General features: G+C 40.9%; 1 protein-coding gene and 1 pseudogene across 22 annotated transcripts in view; one reads left to right on the forward strand and one right to left on the reverse strand.

The window, feature by feature from the left end:
* Positions 1-26,045, forward strand: part of STIM1 (stromal interaction molecule 1) — a 238,607-nt gene that overhangs the window by 132,978 nt on the left and 79,584 nt on the right. The window lies entirely within an intron of this gene.
* HMGN1P21 (high mobility group nucleosome binding domain 1 pseudogene 21) lies at positions 773-2,022 on the reverse strand (annotated as a pseudogene).

Consider the following 26,045-nt stretch of genomic DNA (forward strand, 5'->3'; position numbering starts at 1 on the left):
TATCTGTCTCACCTAGATGCTTTCAATATGTCTGATTAATCTGTGTGTCCTTGGATCTCAGCACAAGACCTGTCACATAGTAACTACTCAGTAAATATTGGTTAGGCAAATGAAAGAACAAATGGTGCTTAACAAAGCCTTCTGGAACTCCCAATGCCTGCACTATTCTTCTGCCTTCTCTTGTGTAGTACAATACTCTTAATAGGATATTTTGTCCTTAAGGACACACACACACACACACACACACACACACACACACACAGTGTGTATATATATTTTGTATTGCTCATTGATGCATAAGCCTAAATCCCCCCTCTTAGAGTTGATTAGATGCCAGGAGCTTCTTGGGAGAGGCATGAGTTTGTTTTACTCTCTTATATTCTTTGTCCCTAAGCCTCTTCCCATACCACTGCCCAAAGGTGAGTGTCATTTATAAGGAACACGTGATGAGCTCTAATTCTTTTTGCCAAGTCTATTGAAGTGGGTGTTCTATTTTGGAAATGGAGTCCTAGAGGTTTTCCTGCTGTTGAGTGTTTGGCTGGGTTTGTGATCCTCTCAGGGTGTTTGAAAGCCATGTATAGGGATGGTAGCATGAGGGAAAACTGAGCAGTGAATCGAAGTTGCCGTTTGTTCATGGGGATTGTCAGGGAGAGAGATTTCCTCAGCACCTGAAGCCAGAGCAGAGGGTGGATTTATTATATCTAGTCCAGGGATCAGCAAACTGTTTTTTTCGTGTAGCCTGCAAACTAAAAATGATTTTTACATTTTTTTCTTTCATAATTGAGATTTTATTGGTTGAGGATCAGTACAAACATTTCAATTTGTACACAATTCTTAACATACGTACCGAAAATCTAAAAAGCCATGTATTGTAATTCTTTTTTTTTAAAGTTATTCCAGTGACTTTCCAGCTTAAAATTTGGAAGCAAATTGTCCTTAAGAGGCTATCAAGTACCGGTATGTTCACATGTTGATAAGCTGTTACATATGTCCCACCAATTCACAACTGAATAGCATGTATACTACATATTCAAATTTTTAATCTTTCACAGCACAGTAACCAAGTGATTAGGAAAACAGGACTACCACAACCAAAGATGTTACAGAGTACACACAATTCTGACAGGGAGAGCCATGATCAAGGACTGGTTTTCTTTAGGAAACAATTCTACTAAAAAATAACATGGGAATAGAAGTAATTTAAAATGTTCAAGACATTAAATGCAGGGCTGCTGACTCCATATTGTCATTTAATATGCATTGTATTATAGGATATAAAAACTAACCCCCATCTATGGAGTGTTAAGCTGACAGCAAAGACAGTCAAAACCTCCCATAATTCAATAACCCACACTGTTTTCTGGTTGTACCAAAAAATAAACAACCAGCGAATGATTTCACCTCTTAAATAAAGCATTTACACTTAAAAGATGGGATGAGGTGGGATTCCCTCCTTCTTAAAAATGTTTCTAGAGCTACTAAAAAACTTGCATTTACAAAATAGTTGATAAAAATATTCCTCTGGATTGTACAAGAAGGGAGACAGGGACCACTGATAATGTATGATGTGTGGTATTATTCAGACTTGGCTTCCTTCTCTCCTGCCTCATCAGAGGCTGGACTCTCCTCAGTTTTCTTTTCCCTGTTTACTGCAGGTAAATGTTCTTTAGTTTCTTGGTTAGCCACTTCGGCCTGTTTTCCCTTTGCTCCCCTTTTCCCTTTTGTTTGCACTTGTTTGTCTGAAGATTTATCCTTTGCTGCTGCCTTTTTCGGCTTCGCTTCCACTTTTGCAGGAGCAGGTTTAGCAGACAACCGCGCCGATCTCCTCTTGGGCTCTTCCTTGGCGGCCCCTTCCGCGGAGCTGACCTTGCTCTTAGGCATCCTGGCGGCGTGGAGGGTGCGTGCGGGATGTCTGTGAGCCGCGGCGCACCGAGAGCCTTCGCGAAGCTGGGCTGCCTGGTCGCTGCCGCTCCTCCCGCCGCCCGAGCTGCTGAGATCCCCAGAAGGGGCGGTGGGAGAACCCTGATTTTTACATTTTAAAATAGTTTAGGGGGAAAGCTAAAGAAGAATTTCAAGATGTGAAATTTATATGAAATTGAAATTTCAGTGTCTGTAAAGTTTTATTGGCATACAGCCACTCTCGTTCATTTACATATTGTCTATTGCTGCTTTTACACAAGAACAGCAGAGTTGTGTAGTTGCGACAGAGACCATATGGACCACCAGGCCTAAAATATTTACTGTCTGACTCTTTACAGAAAAAGTTTATCTGGCCTCTAGTCTAACCTATCAATTTTAAAAAAACAGCTTTTTGGAGAAAGAATTCACATACCGTGCAATTCACCCATTTATATACAATTCAATGGGTTTTAGTATATTCACAGATATGTGCAACCATCACCTCAGTCAATTAAAAACATTTTTGTCACCTCAAAAAGAAACCACATACGCATTAGCTATTGTTCTCTCTCCACATTTCCCCCAGCCCTAAGCAACCACGAATCTACTTTCTCTTTCTGTAGTTTTGCCTATTACGGACATTTCATGTAAATTCAATCATATAATATGTGGTCTGTTGTAACTAGCTTTTTTCACTTAGCATGTTTTCAAGGTGCATTCATGTTGTATCAGTACTGCCTGTACATGTTCATGTATATATATCTGTACTTTATTTCTTTTCATGGGCAAATAATATTCTATTGCATGGACATACCAGTTTTGTTTAGCATTCATCAATTTATAGACATCTGGTTTGTTTCACTTTTTGGCTATAATGAAAACTGCTGCTATAGACATGTATAAGTTTTTGTGTGGACGTGTGTTTTATGTTTTGTTTGGATGTATACTTTTATTTCTCTTGGGTACATACATATGAATAGAATTGCTGGGTCATATGGTAACTGTGTTTACCTGTTTTAGGAACTGCCAGAGTATTTTCCATATAAAAATGGTTCAAGTGGCTAAACCATTTTTACATTCCTGCCAGCAGTGTATAAGGGATCTGTTCTCTCCACATGCTCATCAACACTTGTTATTGTCTGACTTTTTGATTACAGTCATCCTAGTTGGTATAAAGCAATATCTCATTATGATTTTGATTTACATTTCTCTGATGACTAATGGTATTGAACATCTTTTCATGTGCTTAATGGTTATTTGTATATCTTCTTTAGAGAAATATTTTCTCAGATCCTTTGCTCATTTATTTTATTTTTTATTATTTAAAAAAATTTCCATCTTCATTTTATATTCACGGGGTACATGTGCAGGTTTGTTACAAGAGTATATTGCGTGATGCTGAGGTTTGGGATTCTATTGATTTTCTTATGCAGATAGTGACCGTAGCATCCAATGGGAATTTTTTCAGTCCTTCTCCCTATCCCCACTCCTTTTGGAGATCCCAGTATCTATTGTTCACATCTTTGTGTTTGTGTGTACCCAAGATTTAGCTCCCACTTACAAGTGAGAACATGCAATATCTGGTTTTCTGTGTCTGCATTAATTCACTTAGGATAATGGCATCCAGCTGCATTCATGTTGCTGCAAAATATTTTCATGGTCAATATGTACCACATTTTCTTTCCTTTCTTTTTTTTTTTTTTTTTTTGAGTCAGGGTCTTTCTCTGTCACCCAAACTGGAGTGCAGTGGCATGATTCCAGCTCACTGCAGCCTCAATCTCCTGGGCTCAAGCATTCCTCCCACCTCAGCTTCTGAGTAGCTGGAACTACAGGCATGCACCACTGCCTGGCTAATTTCTTTGTATTGTTTTGTAGATACGGGGTTTTGCCATGTTGCCTGGGCTGGTCTTGAACTCCTGGGCTCAAGCTCTCCTCCCGCCTTGGCCTCCCAAAGTGCTGGTATTACAGGCGTGAATCACCGTGCCTGGCCTGTATCACATTAATTAATGGCATCTAGGTTGATTTCATGCCTTTGCTATTGTGAATAGTGCTGCAGTGAACATATGAGTGCACATGTCTTTTTAGTAGAATAATTTATTTTCCTTTGGGTATGTATACAGTAATGGAATTGCTGGATCGAATGGTAGTTCTATTTTTAGTACTCTTAGAAATCTCCAAACTGCTGTGGCCGGGCGCGGTGGCTCACGCCTGTAATACCAGCACTTTGGGAGGCTGAGGCGGGTGGATCACCTGAGGTCGGGGTTCAAGACCAGCCTGACCAACATGGAGAAACCCCATCTCTACTAAAAATACAAAAAAATTAGCCGGTCATGGTGGCGCATGCCTGTAATCCCAGCTACTTGGAAGGCTGAGGCAGGAGAATCGTGTGAACCTGGGAGGCGGAGGTTGCGGTGAGCCGAGATCGTGCCATTGCACTCCAGCCTGGGCAACAAGAGTGAAACTCCATCTCAAAAAAAAAAAAAAAAAAAAAAGAAAAAAAAAAAAAATCTCCAAACTGCTTTCCACAGTGGCTGGACTAATTTGCATTCCCATCAACTGTGTATAAGTGTTTTCTTTTCTCTGCAGCCTTGCCAACATCTGTTTTTTTGTTTTTTTTTTTTTTTTTTTTTTAGTTTTTAATAATAACTTTGCGTCCTGGTATGGTGGCTCATGCCTGTAATCCCAGCGCTTTGGGTGGCGGGTGGATTGCCTGAAGCCAGGAGTTCGAGACCAGCCAGGGCAATGTGGCAGAACTTGGTCTCTACAAAAAAAAAAACACAAAAATTAGCTAGGCATGGTGATGTGTGCCTATAATTCCAGCTACTCAGAAGGCTGAGACATGAGAATGGCTTGAACCCAGTAGGCAGAGGTTGTAGTGAGCCGAGATTGGGCCACTGCACTTTAGCCTGGGTGACAGAGTGAGACTCTGTCTCAAAAAAAAATTTAAATAAAATAAAAAACCTTTACTTATTTTTAAATTGGGTTGTCTTTTTGGTATTGAGTTGTTAAAGTTCTTTATATATTTTAGGTACAAATCCCTTATGAGATACGTGATTTGAAAATATTTTCTCCCATTCTGTGGGTTGCTTTTTCACTTTCTTGGTTGTATCCTTTGAAGCACAGAAGTTTTAAATTTTGATGAAGTCCAGTTTATTTATTTTTTTGCTGTTGTTTCTGCTCATACTTTTGAGGTCATGTCTGAGAAACCATTGTCAAATCCAAGGTCGTGATGACTTACCCCTGTGTTTTCTTCTAAGAGTTTTAAAGGCATCTGAAGCTTAATGTGCACTAGATGGATTCTAAATATCATCTCATCCAAAACCTGCTATATATACTACCTTCCTCATCTCAGTTGAAGGCAAGTCCATTGTTTCAATTGCCTGGGCAAAAAATATTCTAAATAATTCATAATTTTTCCTCAACTCCACATCTATTGGTAAATCCTGTGGGTTCTCCTTTTAAAACATATCCAAAATAGAATCATTTCTCACTATCATTCCACTGCAGGCACCAAGTCTCAATAGTCTCCTAGCAGATAATCATGTCTACATTTATTCTCAATGTAGCAGCTAGAGAGCTTTTTTGAAAAAAAAAAAAAAATGTAAACCAGATCATTTCACTCTCCTCAAAACTTCATTTTTTTGTTTGGTGTGAAAGCCACAGTCTCCACAAAAGTTAGCAAGGCCCTCTGTGATCTGGTCCCCACTTATTCTGATCTCCTCTCTGACTTATATTCCCCTTGTCACTCACTGTAGCCACACTCTTTGGTGTTCCTTCATACTCTTTTATATTCCTGCTTTAGGGCCTTGGTTCTAGCTTTTGCCGCTGCCTGGACTATTGTTTCCTTAGGTATTTAGTTTATGCCCTCATATTTCCATATAAAATATACTTTGTGGCTGGGCGTGATGGCTCAAGCCTGTAATCCCAGAACTTTGGGAGGCCAAGGTGGGCAGATCACTTGAGGTCAGGAGTTTGAGACCAGCCTGGCCAACATAGTAAAACCCTGTCTCTACTAAAAATACAAAATTAGCCGGGCGTGGTGGCATATGCCTGTAATCTCAGCTACTCGAGAGGCTCAGGCAGGAGAAATGCTTGAACCCAGGAGGTGGAGGTTGTGGTGAGCAGAGATTGTGCCACTGCACTCCAGCCTGGGCGACAGAGGGAGACTCTGTCTCAAAAAAACAAAAAACGAAACAAAAACCCCAAAAATATTCTTTGTCATTTGTCATACTTCATGTTATCAAAGAGACCTTTCCCAGACCACCCTATTTAATAATGAAATCTGCACCTCTACTCCATTCCTGGCACCCAGATCTTCATTATGAATCACTTTTTAAAATAATTTTTAAGAACTTATCATCATCTGGATTTTATTATTTAATCACTTATTGTTTTATTATTTATTGCCTAGAATATAAAGTTCATAAGGGAAAGGGATCTGTTTTGTTCACTGCTATGTCTCCAGTACCTAGAACAGTACCTGGCTCACTGTTGGTACTTTTTTGTATGGATTCAAAGTACTATCTGGGGGGGTCACTTAAAGAGCTTCCTTTAGTATTTTTTTGTAAGGTGTGTCAGTTAGCAATGAATTTTCTCAGTGTTTGTTTATCTGGAAATGTCTTTATTTTCACAAGAGTTTTGCCGGATGTACAATTCTTGGTTGACATCCTCTCACTTCAGTGAGCCCTTTGATCATGTTATCCCATTGTCTTCTGGCATCCATTATTTTTGGTGAGAAGTTAACTGTTAATCTTACTGGGTTCACATGTGTGTGATGAGTCATTTTTCTCTTGCTGCTTTCAAACTTTCTCATTGCCTTTGACTTTTAGCGTTTTACTTAATGTGTCTATTTGTGGATCTCTTTGCATTTATCCTATTTGGAGTTTATTAGATTTTCTTTATGGGTAGATTAATGTTTTTCAAAACTTGGGAGGTTTTTCAGCCATTATTTCTTTGAATATTTTTCCTTCTCCTTTTTCTTTCTTTTTTTTTTTTTTTGAGACATAGTCTCACTCTGTCACCCAGGCTGGAGTACAGTGGCACAATCTCAGCTCACTCCAATCTGACTCCTGGGTTCAAGCGATTCTCATGTCTCAGCCTCCCCAAGTAGCTGGGATCGCAGGCGTACACCACCACACCCGGCTAATTTTTGTATTTTTAGTAGAGATGTGGTTTCGCCATGTTGTCCAGGCTGGTCTTTAACTCCTGGCCCCAAGCAATCCACCCACTTTGGCCTCTCACAGGTGTGAGTCTTTCTGCTCCTTTTTCTTTATCTTCCCCTTCTGGTATTCATATATTGGTGTGATTAATGGTGTTCTACATTTCTCTGAGGCTCTGTTCATTTTTCTTCATTCCTTTTTCTCTATGTTTTTAGGATTGTATAATCTCTATCAGTCTCTCTTGAAGTTTGCTAATTCTTCCTGCTGCCAGTTCAGATCTACTATTTAGCCCCTGTCCTAATTTTCCACTTCAGTTATTGTACTTTTCAACTCCAGAACATCCATTTGGTTCTTTTTTTAAAACAATAATTTGTCTCTTTATTGACATTCTTTATTTGATGCATCATTGACATCATGCATTCCTTTACCTCTTTAAAAATCATGATTTTTTTTTTTTTAATCTTTGGACATATTTATAATGGCTAATTTGTAGTCTTTTTCTGTTAAATCTGACATCTGGTCCCTCTTACTGAGAGTTTCTGTTGCCTACTTTTTTTCTGGTATATGGGTCACACTTTCGTGTTTCTTTGTTTTTTGTTTGTTTGTTTGTTTGAAGCTGAACATTTTTGATAATATATTGTAGCAACTTTGGGTACTTGTCTGATTCCTCTGGGGCTTATTATTATTTGCTTGTTTATTTATTTAATGACTGGCTAGATTGTTTAAGTGGTTGATCCCCCTCCTCCCACAGTGTGAATCCTCTGATGTTGCTCCTCAGAGGACTTTGGTATGCCCACAGTCATATTTGGATGATAATGGTTTGGGCAGAACTTTGACTGTCTCTTTCCCTGGCCACACCCAGCTTTTTAGGTTCACTAATTGCCATCTGGTTGCTCTGCTCTTTTCAGCAATGCCCTGAGGCATAAATTGCTTCCCAGACTAATCCAACTATATTAGGGTTCCTTTGAAGGGATAGTTCCTGAGGTCAGTGTTTGAGATTTGTTCTTTTTTGGTTTGTTTTTGGAGATAGAGTCCCACTGTTTCACCCAGGCTAGAGTGCAGTGGCGTGATCATGGCCCACTGCAGCCTCAACCTCCTGGACTCCAGTGATCCTCCTACCTCAGCCTCCTGAGTAATTGGGACCACAGGTGTGTGCTACTACACCTGGCTTCTTTTTTTTTTTTTTTTTTAAGTTCTGGGATATATGTGCAGGATGTGCAGGTGGCCTGGCTAATTTTTAAATTTTTTGTGAAGATGGGGTCTCCCTATGTTGCCCAGGCTGGTGAAATTTGTTCTTACCCTGAGAGACTCCTCCCAGCTGTCTCTTTCCCTAGTTATCTCCAGCAAATTCTCTAGTCTACAGTTTAGCCTATATCTCCAATGAATCTGCTAATCTTTTCCTTTCACCACAACTTCTACTCTTTTGAGAGTACCCTACCCTTAGTCTTGAAATTCTCTACACTCTGTCACAGATGAGGTCATTTCCCCTGGGAAGAGATTCAGATCTCTTTGTTTTATAGCCTGCTTCCTCGGCCAGGCAAAATCTTTGAGTCACGGTTCTGGAGCTAGGGTGGGGGACAATGACATGCTTCTGAGTGACACCACCACTTTAGGAGCTGAGGACTTGGTGGAGGGGTGGCAGTAGCCTCAGGTCTTTTTGGTTTTCTTCTCCCAGAGTGTAATCACCATCTTATGAGCCAGGGCAATGCCAGTTGTGGCTCCAGTATTCTTAGTGGCACTGCATCCAAGGTAAAGCTCTCGTCCTATGAGTGGGGTTTAAACGGGACAAAAGAGGCCCACCTTTTAGCTGCACTCACTTAGAACTTAGCCTCAGTAACAGGTAGCTGGGGGAAGGATCAGAAATGCTAATATCCTGCTCAGGACATTCCAGGCAGCTAACCCTTTAACAGGGAGCTTGAGAGAGAAGGTCTGTGTTTAGCTGCATCAGTGTGCAGTGGAGTTTCTGTGTCATTGAGTTGGGAGAGGCAAGGTGGAGAACAGGTCTTGGTTTAAATATTGTGGACTCTCGCTGTTCTTAGATTTTCTTGAGCATATGTTTCTTCATTGGCTGTGTGCCTTTAAGACCATTTCCAGAAACTTTAAATGGTTGCTTTTGAAAAATAAGTTTCACTAGTTTTACTGGAGAGTGGGTCTGTGGAGCTTCTCATGCTGTCAAACTAGAAGTCCCTTCTAACCCATCAATTTTGTAACTGTTCTTTCTCATAGTGCATTTTCTCCAGTGCTATGCATTCAGCCTATATAAATGTGGCAGTATTTACCCCAATTAAGAAGATAATCTCTTTCCTCTGGGGAAATATTTTCTAATTAGTGATCTATTTCTGTCCTCCTTTCATAAAACAAAGGTTCCCCAGACAGTATTCTTTGGCTAGCTTGGATACTTTGGTTCTGACAGTTTGTAAGACTGGAGATGTTAGAGTTTCTCTGTCTTTGCCATTCTGGCCAGGTACCTGGCAAGCTGAAACTTTTAATGCTGCCTCTAGGATTTGACCTGTGTCATGTGCCCAGTGTTTTGGTGGGGCATCAACAATGATTCCATGACAAGCACTGAGCGTTCTCATTGACCTCAGAGGGATTCTCTGTATCTATGTATGTGCTAGGTGCTGGAAAAAAAGGAGTAAAAGGAAAGGCAATGTTGCTGCCTTTGAAGAAGTTCCCCTAGTGGTGGAGATAGCCATAAAACAGATAAGGACACTATAATTTATTAAGTGGATACTGTGAGGCACAATGGCGTGCACCTGTAGTACCAGCTACTTGGGAGGCTGAGGTGGGAGAATTGCTTGAGCCCAGAGTTCAAGACCAGCCTTAGCAATATATCGAAACCCTGTCTCTAAAAAAAAAATAAAATTTTAAGAGTGAACACTGTGATAGAGTTGCAGAAGAGGACGCCCTAAGTCAGCCTTTCCCATGTTATAGTCACTGACACATAATCCGGATCTCAACAGATGACTAGGAGTGATAAGGAGAATGTTTTAAGTGAGGGAATAGCATGTACAAAGATATTGTACAGGTGAAAAGCCTGGTACTGTCAGAGAGTTTTAAGTAATTCATTATCATTGGGAATTGGGAATTCATTATCATTGGGAATGAGAGGAAGTGGCAACTGATGCACTGAGGAAGGCCAGCCCATAGAGGAGGGAGGGTCTTGCATAAAGTTGTAAAGTTTTGATTTTAAATGGAGTTAAAGCTTTAAAAGCTTTCAAAGAATCATAGAGTAGAACAAAAAGGACCTTAGAGGTTAGTAGACTACAATGTCTTGTCTTAACTATCTCCATTCCTAACCTCTTGACACATGGACTTTATATAGCAAGCACTTAGAAAATATCCGTTTTCTACCTCCTCTATAGGTCTTCCTTACATATGAGGGATCAGCATCACTGTAATAGTGGGCCCTAGGATTGTACGTTCTTTTAGTATCTTTAATCCTTCTTAAAACATATTACACACACACACAGACAGGAGAGCTTATTTTGTGCCAGGCACTATTCTAAGGTATTTAGTTGAATTTACTCATTTATGCTTCCCTCAACATGAGGGTTGTTAGGTTTTGTGCTACTATCTTCATTTTACAAATGATGCAAGTTATACACTGAAACTAAGTGGTGGAACGAGGATTCAAACCCAGGCAGCCAGGTCTAGAATCAAACTCTAAAGTATCATGTTACATTGAATCCAAGCTAGTGTAACTCTCTGGCTCCTGGCTAAATATCTTTCTTTTAGATAGGCTGACAATTTGGGGACCTTTTTCTTTCTTCTATTCAATAGACAATTATGTCTTGACTAGCTATTGTAAGCTAAGCTCTCTGCTACATGTTATAGGACAAACTCGAGAGACACTCCTTCAGTTATTTAATAACCACACACTCTGCTCTGTGCCGGGCCCTCGGCTTGGAGATGGATTTATGGAGCTAAATTAATTATTCATTTATGTATTCCAGAAAATTTACAAGATGCTGGTGAAGAATAAATGATAAATAAAATATAGTCTCTATTTTTGAGTTGCTTAGGGAGAGTAAGAGGGGGATAATGTATACCCTGAGAACTAAGGGAACAAATAGGATAGGGCAATGAACTCACCTGGGAGAGATCTAGAAAACTTCACAGAAGGCAGTGACTTTTTATTTAATAGACAAAGAGTGGGAGAAAGCATTTTAAATGGAGCACCTTGTGCAAAATCTTGGGGGTATAAAAGATCATGGTTTGGTCAAGGAGCATGAAATGGCTTGATGTGTCTAGAGCAGGCAACTTTTTCTGTAAAGGATTAGATAGTAATTATTTTAGACTTTGATAGCCATAGAGTCTCTGTTACAAATACTCAACTCTGTCTTTGTAGCATGAAAGCAGCCACAGAAAATATACATCAATGCATGAGCCTGGCTATGTTTCAGTAAAACTTTATGAAAACTGGCTGGGCATGGTGGCTTATGCCTGCAATCCCATCACTTTGGGAAGCCAAGGCAGGAGGATTGCTTGAGTCTATGAGTTTGAGACTAGCCTGGACAATATGGTAAGACCCTGTCTCTACAAAAAATGAAGAAAAAATTAGCCCCTGTGCCTGTAGTCCAAGCTACTCGGGAGGCTGAGGCAGGAGGACTGCTTAAGCCCAGGAGGCTGCAGTGAGCCATCTTCACGCCACTGCATTTCAGCATGGGCAATAGAGGGAGACTCAGTCTCAAAACCAACAAACAGCAAACTGGATTTGGCTTATGGCCATAGTTTTCTGACCCAATATCTGGTGTGTAAGGTGTCTGGTAGGGAGGGAGAGTGGCCAGGAAGGTACTTAGGAAGTTAATGTGTCATATTGTAAAAGACCTTGAATGCCAGGCCAAGAAGCTAGGGCTTTATCTTGTAGGTAATGGGGAGCCATGAGATGTTAAGTAAGGGAGTTGGAATAGATATTTACTTTAAGATCATTCTAGAGTGATTGTGGTGGGGGGAGGAGCCAAGATGGCCGAATAGGAAGAGCTCTGGTCTACAGCTCCCAGCGTGAGCGACGCAGTAGACGGGTGATTTCTGCATTTCCATTTGAGGTACCGGGTTCATCTCACTAGGGAGTGCCAGACAGTGGGCACAGGACAGTGGGTGCAGCACACCGTGTGCCAGCCAAAGCAGGGCAAGGCATTGCCTCACTCGGGAAGTGCAAGGGATCAGGGAGTTAGTTCCCTTTCCTGGTCAAGGAAAGGGGTGACAGACGGCACCTGGAAAATCGGGCCACTCCCACCCGAATACTGCACTTTTCCGACGGGCTTAGGAAATGGCGCACCAGGAGATTATATCCTGCACCTGGCTCGGAGGGTCCTACGCCCATGGAGTCTTGCTGATTGCTAGCACAGCAGTCTGAGATCAAACTGCAAGGCGGCAGCGAGGCTGGGGGAGGGGCGCCCGCCATTGCCCAGGCTCGCTTAGGTAAACAAAGCAGCCGGGAAGCTTGAACTGGGTGGAGCCCACCACGGCTCAAGGAGGCCTGCCTGCCTCTGTAGGCTCCACCTCTGGGGGCAGGGCACAGACAAACAAAAAGACAGCAGTAACCTCTGCAGACTTAAATGTGCCTGTCTGACAGCTTTGAAGAGAGCAGTGGTTCTCCCAGCATGCAGCTGCAGATCTGAGAATGGGCAGACTGCCTCCTCAAGTGGGTCCCTGACCCCGACCCCCGAGCAGCCTAACTGGGAGGCACCCCCCAGTAGGGGCAGACTGACAACTCACATGGCCAGGTACTCCTCTGAGACAAAACTTCCAGAGGAACGATCAGACAGCAGCATTCGCGGATCATGAAAATCCGTGGTTCTGCAGACACCGCTGCTGATACCCAGGCAAACAGGGTCTGGAGTGGACCTCTAGCAAACTCCAACAGACCTGCAGCTGAGGGTCCTGTCTGTTAGGAGGAAAACTAACAAACAGAAAGGACATCCACACCAAAAACCCATCTGTACATCACCATCATCAAAGACCAAAAGTAGATAAAACCACAAAGATAGGGAAAAAACAGAGCAGAAAAACTGGAAACTCTAAAAAGCAGAGCGCCTCTCCTCCTCCAAAGGAACGCAGTTCCTCACCAGCAACGGAACAAAGCTGGACGGAGAATGACTTTGATGAGTTGAGAGAAGAAGGCTTCAGACAATCAAACTACTCCAAGCTACAGGAGGAAATTCAAACCAAAGGCAAAGAAGTTGAAAACTTTGAAAAAAATTTAGACGAATGTATAACTAGAATAACCAATACAGAGAAGTGCTTAAAGGAGCTGATGGAGCTGAAAGCCAAGGCTCGAGAACTACGTGAAGAATGCAGAAGCCTCAGGACCCAATGCGATCAACTGGAAGAAAGAGTATCAGTGACGGAAGATGAAATGAATGAAATGAAGCGAGAAGGGAAGTTTAGAGAAAAAAGAATAAAAAGAAACGAACAAAGCCTCCAAGAAATGTGGGACTATATGAAAAGACCAAATCTGCGTCTGATTGGTGTACCTGAAAGTGATGGGGAGAATGGAACCAAGTTGGAAAACACTCTGCAGGATATTATCCAGGAGAACTTCCCCAATCTAGCAAGGCAGGCCAACATTCAGATTCAGGAAATACAGAGAACGCCACAAAGATACTCCTCGAGAAGAGCAACTCCAAGACACATAATTGTCAGATTCACCAAAGTTGAAATGAAGGAAAAAATGTTCAGGGCAGCCAGAGAGAAAGGTCGGGTTACCTTCAAAGGGAAGCCCATCAGACTAACAGCTGATCTCTCGGCAGAAACTCTACAAGCCAGAAGAGAGTGGGGACCAATATTCAACATTCTTAAAGAAAAGAATTTTCAACCCAGAATTTCATATCCAGCCAAACTAAGCTTGACAAGTGCAGGAGAAATAAAATACTTTACAGACAAGCAAATGCTGAGAGATTTTGTCACCACCAGGTCTGCCCTAAAAGAGCTCCTGAAGGAAGCACTAAACATGGAAAGGCACAACCGGTACCAGCCACTGCAAAATCATACCAAAATGTAAAGACCATTGAGATTAGGAAGAAACTGCATCAACTAATGAGCAAAATCACCAGCTAACATCATAATGACAGGATCAAATTCACACATAACAATATTAACTTTAAATGTAAATGGACTAAATGCTCCAATTAAAAGACACAGACTGGCAAATTGGATAAAGAGTCAAGACCCATCCGTGTGCTGTATTCAGGAAACCCATCTCACGTGCAGAGACACACATAGGCTCAAAATAAAAGGATGGAGGAAGATCTACCAAGCAAATGGAAAACAAAAAAAGGCAGGGGTTGCAATCCTAGTCTCTGATAAAACAGACTTTAAACCAACAAAGATCAAAAGAGACAAAGAAGGCCATTACATGATGGTAAAGGGATCAATTCAACAAGAAGAGCTAACTATCCTAAATATATATGCACCCAATACAGGAGCACCCAGATTCATAAAGCAAGTCCTGAGTGACCTACAAAGAGACTTAGACTCCCACACAATAATAATGGGAGACTTTAACACCCCACTGTCAACATTAGACAGATCAACGAGACAGAAAGTTAACAAGGATACCCAGGAATTGAACTCAGCTCTGCACCAAGCGGACCTAATAGACATCTACAGAACTCTCCACCCCAAATCAACAGAATATACATTTTTTTCAGCACCACACCATGCCTATTCCAAAATTGACCACATAGTTGGAAGTAAAGCACTCCTCAGCAAATGTAAAAGATCAGACATTATAACAAACTGTCTCTCAGACCACAGTGCAATCAAACTAGAACTCAGGATTAAGAAACTCACTCAGAACTGCTCAATTACATGGAAACTGAACAACCTGCCCCTGAATGACTACTGGGTACATAACGAAATGAAGGCAGAAATAAAGATGTTCTTTGAAACCAACGAGAACAAAGACACAACATACCAGAATCTCTGGGACACATTCAAAGCAGTGTGTAGAGGGAAATTTATAGCACTAAATGCCCACAAGAGAAAGCAGGAAAGATCCAAAATTGACACCCTAACATCACAATTAAAAGAGCTAGAAAAGCAAGAGCAAACACATTCAAAAGCTAGCAGAAGGCAAGAAATAACTAAAATCAGAGCAGAACTGAAGGAAATAGAGACACAAAAAACCCTTCAAAAAATTAATGAATCCAGGAGCCGGTTTTTTGAAAGGATCAACAAAATTGATAGACCGCTAGCAAGACTAATAAAGAAAAAAAGAGAGAAGAATCAAATAGACGCAATAAAAAATGATAAAGGGGATATCACCACCTATCCCACAGAAATACAAACTACCATCAGAGAATACTACAAACACCTCTATGCAAATATACTAGAAAATCTAGAAGAAATGGATAAATTCCTGGACACATACACTCTCCCAAGACTAAACCAGGAAGAAGTTGAATCTCTGAATAGACCAATAACAGGATCTGAAATTGTGGCAATAATCAATAGCTTACCAACCAAAAAGAGTCCAGGACCAGATGGATTCACAGCCAAATTCTACCAGAGGTACAAGGAGGAACTGGTACCATTCCTTCTGAAACTATTCCAATCAATAGAAAAAGAGGGAATCCTCCCTAACTCATTTTATGAGGCCAGCATCATCCTGATACCAAAGCCGGGCAGAGACACAACCAAAAAAGAGAATTTTAGACCAATATCCTTGATGAACATTGATGCAAAAATCCTCAGTAAAATACTGGCAAACTGAATCCAGCAGCACATCAAAAAGCTTATCCACCATGATCAAGTGGGCTTCATCCCTGGGATGCAAGGCTGGTTCAATATACACAAATCAATAAATGTAATCCAGCATATAAACAGAACCAAAGACAAAAACCACATGATTATCTCAATAGATGCAGAAAAGGCCTTTGACAAAATTCAACAACTCTTCATGCTAAAAACTCTCAATAAATTAGGTATTGATGGGACGTATCTCAAAATAATAAGAGCTATCTATGACAGACCCACAGCCAATATCATACTGAATGGGCAAAAACTGGAAGCATTCCCTTTGAAAACTGGCACAAGACGGGATGCCCTCTCTCACCACTCCTATTCAACATAGTGTTGGAAGTTCTGGCCAGGGCAACTAGGCAGAAGAAAGAAATAAAGGGTATTCGATTAGGAAAAGAGGAAGCCAAATTGTCCCTGTTTGCAGATGACATGATTGTATATCTAGAAAACCCCATTGTCTCAGCCCAAAATCTCCTTAAGCTGATAAGCAACTTCAGCAAAGTCTCAGGATAAAAAAAATCAATGTACAAAAATCACAAGCATTCTTATACACCAATAACAGACAAACAGAGAGCCAAATCATGAGTGAACTCCCATTTGCAATAGCTTCAAAGAGAATAAAATACTTAGGAATCCAACTTAGAAGGGACGTGAATGACCTCTTCAAGGAGAACTACAAACCACTGCTCAATGAAATAAAAGAGGATACAAACAAATGGAAGAACATTCCATGCTCATGGGTAGGAAGAATCAATATCATGAAAATGGCCATGCTGCCCAAGGTAATTTATAGATTCAATGCCATCCCCATCAAACTACCAATGACTTTCTTCACAGAATTGGAAAAAACTAAAGTTCATATGGAACCAAAAAAGAGCCCACATCGCCAAGTCAATCCTAAGCCAAAAGAACAAAGCTGGAGGCATCACGCTACCTGACTTCAAACTATACTACAAGGCTACAGTAACCAAAACAGCATGGTACTGGTACCAAAACAGAGATGTAGATCAATGGAACAGAACAGAGCCCTCAGAAATAACGCCGCATATCTACAACTATCTGATCTTTGACAAACCTGAGAAAAACAAGCAATGGGGAAAGGATTCCCTATTTAATAAATGGTGCTGGGAAAACTGGCTAGCCATATGTAGAAAGCTGAAACTGGATCCCTTCCTTATACCTTATACAAAAATTAATTCAAGATGGATTAAAGACTTAAACGTTAGACCTAAAACCATAAAAACCCTAGAAGAAAACCTAGGCATTACCATTCAGGACATAGGCATGGGCAAGGACTTCATGTCTAAAACACCAAAAGCAATGGCAACAAAAGCCAAAATTGACAAATGGGATCTAATTAAACTAAAGAGCTTCTGCACAGCAAAAGAAACTACCATCAGAGTGAACAGGCAACTGACAAAATGGGAGAAAATTTTCGCAACCTACTCATCTGACAAAGGGCTAATATCCAGAATCTACAATGAACTTAAACAAACTTACAAGAAAAAAACAGCCCCATCAAAAAGTGGGCAAAGGATATGAACAGACACTTCTCAAAAGAAGACATTTATGCAGCCAAAAAACACATGAGAAAATGCTCATCATCACTGGTCATCAGAGAAATGCAAATCAAAGCCACAATGAGATAGCATCTCACACCAGTTAGAATGGCAATCATTAAAAAGTCAGGAAACAACAGGTGCTGGAGAGGATGTGGAATAATAGGAACACTTTTACACTGTTGGTGGGACTGTAAACTAGTTCAACCATTGTGGAAGTCAGTGTGGCGACTCCTCAGGGATCTAGAACTAGAAATACCATTTGACCCAGCCATCCCATTACTAGGTATACACCCAAAGGACTATAAATCATGCTGCTATAAAGACACATGCACGCGTATGTTTATTGTGGCAGTATTCACAATAGCAAAGACTTGGAACCAACCCAAATGTCCAACAATGATAGACTGGATTAAGAAAATGTGGCACATATACACCATGGCATACTATGCAGCCATAAAAGATGAGTTCATCTCCTTTGTAGGGACATGGATGAAATTGGAAATCATCATTCTCAGTAAACTATCGCAAGGACAAAAAACCAAACACCGCATGTTCTCACTCATAGGTGGGAATTGAACAATGAGAACACATGACACAGGAAGGGGAACATCACACTCTGGGGACTGTTGTGGGGTGGGGGGAGGGGGGAGCGATAGCTTTAGGAGATATACCTAATGCTAAATGACGAGTTAATGGGTGCAGCACACCAGCATGGCACATGTATACATATATAACTAACCGGCACATTGTGCACATGTACCCTAAAACTTAAAGTATAATAATAATAATAAAAAAGATTATTCTAGTGTCTAATATGGTAGATAGACTGACAGAAAAGAGACTAGACGTACAAAGATAAGTGAGAAATGACTGCTGTATCCCTGCCTTGAGCAACAGCTTCTGATCTCAGTGGAAACAGATATTTCACTCATGAAACGTACATGTCCTAGAACTCTGTAAATGACATTTAGAGCTATTGTACCTGAAATATGGTATGCTTCCTTGCTAGATGTTCAAGAGGTAAATAAGAGTTGGTAAACTTTTCAGATCTGGAACATGTGACTTATGGGTTTGATATGGCTTGGTTCTGTGTCCCCACCAAATCTCGTGTTGAATTGTAATCCCCAGTGCTGGAGGTGGGGCTGTTAGGAGTGATTGGATTATCGGGGTGATGTTCTCATGAATTGTTTAACACCATCCCCTCTCAGTATTGAATAGTGAGTGAGTTCTCATGAGATCTGGTCATTTAGAAGTGTGGTAGCACCTCCCCCTTTGCTCTTTCTTCCTCCTGCTCTGGCTGTGTATGGTGTGTCTGTTTCCCTTTCACCTTCTGCCTTGATTGTAAGTTTCCCAAGGCCTCCCCAGAAGCAGAAGCTGCTATGCTTCCTGTACAGCCTGCGGAATGGTGAGCCAATTAAACCTCTTTTCTTATAAATTACCCAGTCTCAGGTATTTCTTTTTTTCTTTCTTTTTAAAATTTTCTTTGGCGGAGTCTCATGCTGTTGCCCAGGCTGGAGTGCAGTGGCACAATCTCGGCTCCCTGCAACTTCTGTTTCCTGGGTTCAAGCGATTCTCCTTCCTCACCCTCCCAGGTAGCTGGGATTACAGGCACAAGCCATGATGGCAGCTATTTTTTATATTTTTAGTAGAGACGGGATTTGACCATGTTGGCCAGGCTGGTCTTGAATTCCTGACCTCAAGTGATCTGCCCACCTCTGGTTCCCAAAGTGCTGGGATTACAGGTGTGAGCCACTGTGCCCAGCCACAGGTATTTCTTTATAGCAATGTAATAATGGACTAATGTAGGGTTCTAAATATTGTGGGCTGGATGGGGGTTGGAGAGCAGCAGAGAAAGTGGGAATGGAGGTGGGACAATTTGGTTTGGGAAATATGGAAGGTAAGTAGTAGGGAACAAGGTTGGAAAGGGGAGGGAAGTGTTATTGATTCTAAGGAAGAACCCAGGAAAGCCATCCAGATTGCTGTACCCAAAGGTGTGCTGCTCTTCTTCTGGCTTTATGTCAGTGAATTCTCTTCTCTGGTGGATCAAGCTGGCTGGGCCTATTTTGTAGAAATTATAGAGAGATGTCTCCCCTCTTCTCTGCTCCCACTCTCACTACTTCACTACTGCTTGACACTTGGGATGGGTTTATGCCATGTGCCACCTCCTGGGAGATCATTTTTCTGGGCGCATGGAACTAAATATACTTACTGACAGCTGGTAGCTTGGCTCTTTGTAGAACTATTGAGCTGTATAGTTCTAGCCAATGTTGCATTCCCCATGGTAAGGCAGGACTCTTGGGGAGCCTCCTTAGGTATTCCTGAGAGAAGAGCTGCTTGTTCTAAGTCTGAAATAGTAAATCCCTTTGGTGGGATCCAAAAGCTGCCTGTTTAGCTTTGTTATCACCTTTCGTTACTTTTAAACTTTGTCTTAAATCAGACTTTAGCTATTAGCTGGATGTGGGACAGTGTTCAAAGTAAGATGTGGTAATGCCTACTTCAAGTATATTGAACATCAAAGTTACAGCTCAATATAATATTCTTGGGTGCTAGTACCCAGCTTGTGGCTGGGTAACTGGGAACTTCCGTTGAGGGTATATGGTTTGGCAGGGGAGATAGACATCTAATAAGACTGATAAAGGTATTCATAGGCACTATGGGAGCACAGAAGAAGTCACCTTTGATCAAGAATCTTTTTCTGTTACTTTCCTGTCCTTATCTCACTCTCCTTCCAATAATAATCTCAATTAATATCTGAATTGTGCTTTCAAACTCAGTACTTTAGTGTACAACAGGAATTACAAACTGTGCCCCTGAAGGGTCAGAGGGCATTGTAAGTGAGTAATGTGGGCTGTATAAATGCATGTGCATAAGTCTGTGAGTGGTGAGAGCTGTGGGAAAATGGAGAGCCCACACCTCTTCAGAAGGAGCAGCTCTGGCAGACTGTTGCCATGTAGTCATGTACTCCAAGAGCAGTTCTAAGAGATAGGGGATTGAGACCTCCATAGCTCCTTTAGCACCAACTCCCCAACCTTTAAGATACCCCAAATTGTATAACATATATATATTCATACTCATATATAATATGAATTATACATATTTTATATATAGTCATAGGCCACATAAGGACATTCAGTCAACAGTGGGCCACATATGCAATGTGGTTCCATAAGATTATAATATATTTTACTATATCTTTTTTATGTTTGGATATGTTTAGGTACACAAATACTTACTACTGTGTTACAACTCCCTACAATATTGAGTACAGTAACATGTTGTACAAGTTTGTAGCCTAGGAGCAATAGGCTATTTCATATAACCTAGGTGTGTAGTAGGCTATACACATCTAGCATACTCTATGATGTTGACACATGATGCATTTCTTAGAATGTATCCCCATCATATGTCATAAGTGAATGACATATAATGAAACCAATTTTAACAGAGGCTAATTTGTTATAAACAAGGGTTAAGTTCCTATGGCATATTTCTGGTCACAAAAACATCACCAAACTTACAAATAAAGACCAAAACACTTACAATATGAAACACTGAAATAAATGTGAGCTGTATATACATTTAAGAAAGATTAATAAAAACAAGTAAGATAATTATTTATAATTATTTACCTACTTATTTCAGTTTAGGGTTGAGAGTGTCCAGAGTTTATGCTAGCAGCTCAGGGTGCAAGGTGGGCACCAACTCTGGATAGGACGCCATTTCATTGCATGGCACACTCACACACCCACACTCACTCAGGCTAGGACCATGGAGACATGCCAGTTCACCTAAAATGTACATCTTTGGGATGTGGGAGGAAATCAGAGAATGCACAGAAAACCCATGCACACATGGGGAGAGCATGGAAACTTCACACAGACAGTAGCCCCAGCCAGGAATTGATTTTTTTTTCATTGACGTTATAAAGAAATGACATTGAAAGAAATGGTGTTATTTGAGGAGCTGCTGTATATATTTATTCTTTGATATGGAGAATTGATTTTTTCCTTAAGTTTAAGTAAAAGGTTAATAAAAACATCTTCATAAAAAGTTGCATTTTGGCTGGGTGCGGTGGCTCACGCCTGTAATCCCAGCACTTTGGGAGGCCGAGGCGGGCAGATCACGAGGTCAGGAGATCGAGACCATTCTGGCTAACACAGTGAAACCGCGTCTCTACTAAAAATTAAAAAAAAAAATTAGCCGGGTGTGGTGGCAGGCCCCTGTAGTCCCAGCTACTTGGAAGGCTGAGGCAGGAGAATGGCGTGAACTCAGGAGGCGGAGCTTGCAGTGAGCTGCGATCGCGCCACTGCACTCCAGCCTGTGCAACAGGGAAAGAGTGTCTCAAAAAAAAAAAAAAAGTTGCATTTTAAAATTAATTTGTGGCCGGGTGTGGTGGCTCACGCCTGTAATCCCAGCACTTTGGGAGGCCGAGGCAGGCAGATCACTTGAGATCAGGAGTTCGAGACTAGCCTGGCCAACATGCTGAAACCCTGCCTCCACTAAAAACACAAAAATTAGCATGATGGTGGGCGCCTGTAATCCCAGCTACTCAGGAGGCTGAGGCAGGAGAATTGCTTGAACCCGGCGGGCAGAGGTTGCAGTGAGCTGAGATCATGCCACTGCACTCCAGCTTGGGCAGACAGAGTGAGACTCCATCTCAAAATAATAATAATAATAATAATAATAAATAAAGTAAAATAAAATTAATTTGTAATGAATAATCTTCATAAAAATAGTGTGCTTGCTATGCAAATGCAACCTCATGACAAGTCCCTTAGCTCTCACTCTCCTTTTCCAATTAAATTGTTAGTCCTTAAGCCACTCCTGTATAAAATTCTAAAGTCATTGGAGCTTACTGTGGCTAGATATTTTTATTTTTTTGAGACAGGATCTTGCTCTATTGCCCAGGCTGGAGTACAGTGGTACGATCACGGCTTACCGCAACCTTAACATCTTGGGTTCAAGTAATCCTCTCACCTCAGCCTCCCAAGTAGTTGGGACCACAAGTGCACACCACCACATGTAGCTAATTTTAAAATTTTTTGTGGAGATGGGGTTTCACTATGTTGCCCAGACTAGTCTTGAACTCCTGGGCTCAAGCAATCTCCTTCCACCTCGGCCTCCCAAAGTGCTGGGATTGAAGGCATGAGCCATGGAGCCCAACCTGTTTTGATTTGTTTAAAAGATAGCCTGAGAAGGTGGACTTTTAGTGAAATTTTCTGATTTTTTTTTTTTTTTTGAGACAGAGTCTGGCCTTGTCATCCAGGCTGTAGTGCAGTGGCATGATCTCGACTCACTACAACCTCCGCCTTCCAGGTTTAAGCAATTGTTGTGCCTCAGCCTCCCAAGTAGCTGGGATTGCAGGTGTGTGCCATCCTGCCTAGCTGATTTTTGTATTTTTAGTGGAGGCAGGGTTTCACAGTGTTGGCCTGGCTGGTCTCAAACTCCTGACCTCAGGTGATCCACCTGCTTCAGCCTCCCGATGTGCTGGGATTACAGGCATGAGCCACTGCGCCCGGCCAAAATTTTATGATTTTTAAATTTAGGTTCAACTTTTCAAAATGCTGTGCAGGCCAGTAAAAGACACACACAAAGGCAATTTATGACTTCTGCAAACTTGTCTCATTTAATCCTTACCATACCTGAAATGAGGGACATTATTAACCCTAATTTTGAGAGGAAAATAGGCTCAGAGAGGCAAAGTAGCTTGCCCAAAAGTCACACAGCAAGTAAGTAGCCTGTTTCTATGGGTTCTGCCTTTCTTTCTTTCTTTTTTTTATTATTATATATTTTAAGTTCTAGGGTACATGTGCACAATGTGCAGGTTTGTTACATAGGTATACATATGCCATGTTGGTTTACTGCACCCATCAAGTTGTCATTTACATTAGGTATTTCTTCTAATGCTATCCCTCCCCCAGCCCCCAGCCCCCAACAGGCCCTGGTGTATGATATTCCCCTCCCTCTGTCTGTATGTTCTCATTGTTCAACTCCCACTTATAAGTGAGAACATGTGGTGTTTGGTTTTCTGTCCTTGTGATATTTTGCTGAGAATGATGGTTTCCAGCTTCATTCAAGTCCCTGAAAAGAACATGAACTCATCCTTTTTTATGGCTGCATAGTAGTCCATGGTGTATATATGCCACATTTTCTTTATCCAGTCTGTTATTGATGGACATTTGGGTTGGTTCCAAGTCTTTGCTATTGTGAATAGTGCCGCAATAAACATATGTGTGCATGTGTCTTTATAGTATCATGATTTATAATCCTTTGGGTATATACGCAGTATTGGGATTGCTGGGTCAAATGGTATTTCTAGTTCTAGATCCTTGAGAAATCACCACACTGTCTTCCACAATGGTTGAACTAATTTACACTCCCACCAACAGTGTAAAAGCATTCCTATTTCTCCACATCCTTTCCAGCATCTGTTGTTTCCTGACTTTTTAATGATCTCCATTCTAACTGGCGTGAGATAGTATCTCATTGTGATTTTGATTTTGATTTGCGTTTCTCTGATGGCCAGTGAAGATGAGCATTTTTTCATGTGTCTGTTGGCTGCATAAATGTCTTCTTTTGAGAAGTGTCTGTTCATATTCTTCACCTACTTTTTGATTGGGTTGTTTGTTTTTTTCTTGTAAATTTGTTTAAGTTCTTTGTAGATTCTGGATATTAGCCCTTTGTCAGATGGATAGTGCAAAAATTTTCTCCCATTCTATAGGTTGCCCGTTCGCTCTGCTGATAGTTTCTTTTGCTGTGCAGAAGCTCTGTAGTTTAATTAGATCCCATTTGTCTGTTTTGGCTTTTGTTGCCATTGCTTTTGGTGCTTTAGTCATGAAGTCTTTGCCCATGCCTATGTCCTGAATGGTATTGCCTAGGTTTTCTTCTAGGGTTTTTATGGTTTTAGGTCTTACATTTAAGTCTTTAATCCATCTCTAGTTAATTTTTGTATAAGGTGTAAGGAAGGGATCCAGTTTCAGCTTTTTACATATGGCTAGCCAGTTTTCCCAGCACCATTTATTAAATAGGGAATCCCTTCTCCATTGCTTGTTTTTGACAGGTTTGTCAAATATTAGATGGTTGTAGATGTGTGGTGTTATTTCTGAGGGCTCTGTTCTGTTCCATTGGTCGAGATACCTGTTTTGGTACCAGTACCATGCTGTTTTGGTTACTGTAGCCTTGTAGCATAGTTTGAAGTCAGGTAGTGTGATGCCTCCAGCTTTGTTCTCTTTGCTTAGGATTGTCTTGGCTATGCGGACTCTTTTTTGGTTCCATATGAACTTTAAAGTAGTTTTTTCCAATTCTGTGAAGAAAGTCAGTGGTAGCTTGATGGGGATAGCATTGAATCTATAAATTACCTTGGGCAGTGTGGCCATTTTCATGATATTGATTCTTCCTATCCATGAGCATGGAATGCTCTTCCATTTGTTTGTGTCCTCTTTTATTTCGTTGAGCAGTTGTTTGTAGTTCTCCTTGAAGAGGTCCTTCACATCCCTTGTAAGTTGGATTCCTAGGTATTTTATTTGCTTTGTAGTAATTGTGAATGGGAGTTCACTCATGATTTGGCTCTCTGTTTGTCTGTTCTTGGTGTATAGGAATGCTTGTGATTTTTGCACATTGCTTTTATATCCTGAGACTTTGCTGAAGTTGCTTATCAGTTTAAGGAGATTTTGGGCGGAGACGATGGGGTTTTCTAAATATACAATCATGTCATCTGCAAACAGGGACAATTTGACTTCCTCTTTTCCTAATTGAATACCCTTTATTTCTTTCTCTTGCCTGATTGCCCTGGCCAGAACTTCCAACACTATGTTGAATAGGAGTGGTGAGAGAGGGCATCCTTGTCTTGTGCCAGTTTTCAAAGGGTATGTTTCCAGCTTTTGCCCATTCAGTATTATATTGGCTGTGGGTTTGTCATAAATAGCTCTTATTATTTTGAGATATGTTCCATCAATACCTAGTTTATTGAGAGTGTTTAGCATGAAAGGCTGTTGAATTTTGTCAAAGGCCTTTTCTGCATCTATTGAGATAATCATGTGATTTTTGTGGTTGGTTCTGTTTATGTGATGGATTATGTTTATTGATCTGCATATGTTGAACCAGCCTTGCATCCCAGGATGAAGCCAACTTGATCATGGTGGATAAGCTTTTTGATGTGCTGCTGTATTCGGTGTGCCAGTATTTTATTGAGGATTTTTGCATCGATGTTCATCGGGGACACTGGCCTAAAATTCTTTTATTTGTTGTGTCTCTGCCAGGCTTTGGTATCAGGATGATGCTGGCCTCATAAAATGAGTTAAGGAGGATTCCCTCTTTTTCTATTGATTGGAATAGTTTCAGAAGGAATGGTACCAGCTCCTCTTTGTACCTGTGGTAGAATTTGGCTGTGAATCCATCTGGTCCTGGACTTTTCTTGGTTGGTAGGCTATTAATTATTGCCTCAATTTCAGAACCTGTTATTGGTCTGTTCAAAGATTCAACTTCTTCCTGATTTAGTCTTGGGAGGGTGTATGTGTCGAGGAATTTATCCATTTCTTCTAGATTTTCTAGTTTATTTATTTTATATTTTATATTATTTTATTCTCTTTGTGTAGAGGTGTTTATAGTATTCTCTGATGGTAGTTTGTATTCCTGTGGGATCGGTGGCGATATCCCCTTTATCATTTTTTATTGCATC

This window comes from Homo sapiens, chromosome 11, assembly GCF_000001405.40.
Source record: "Homo sapiens chromosome 11, GRCh38.p14 Primary Assembly".
NCBI classification, from domain to species: Eukaryota; Metazoa; Chordata; class Mammalia; order Primates; family Hominidae; genus Homo; species Homo sapiens.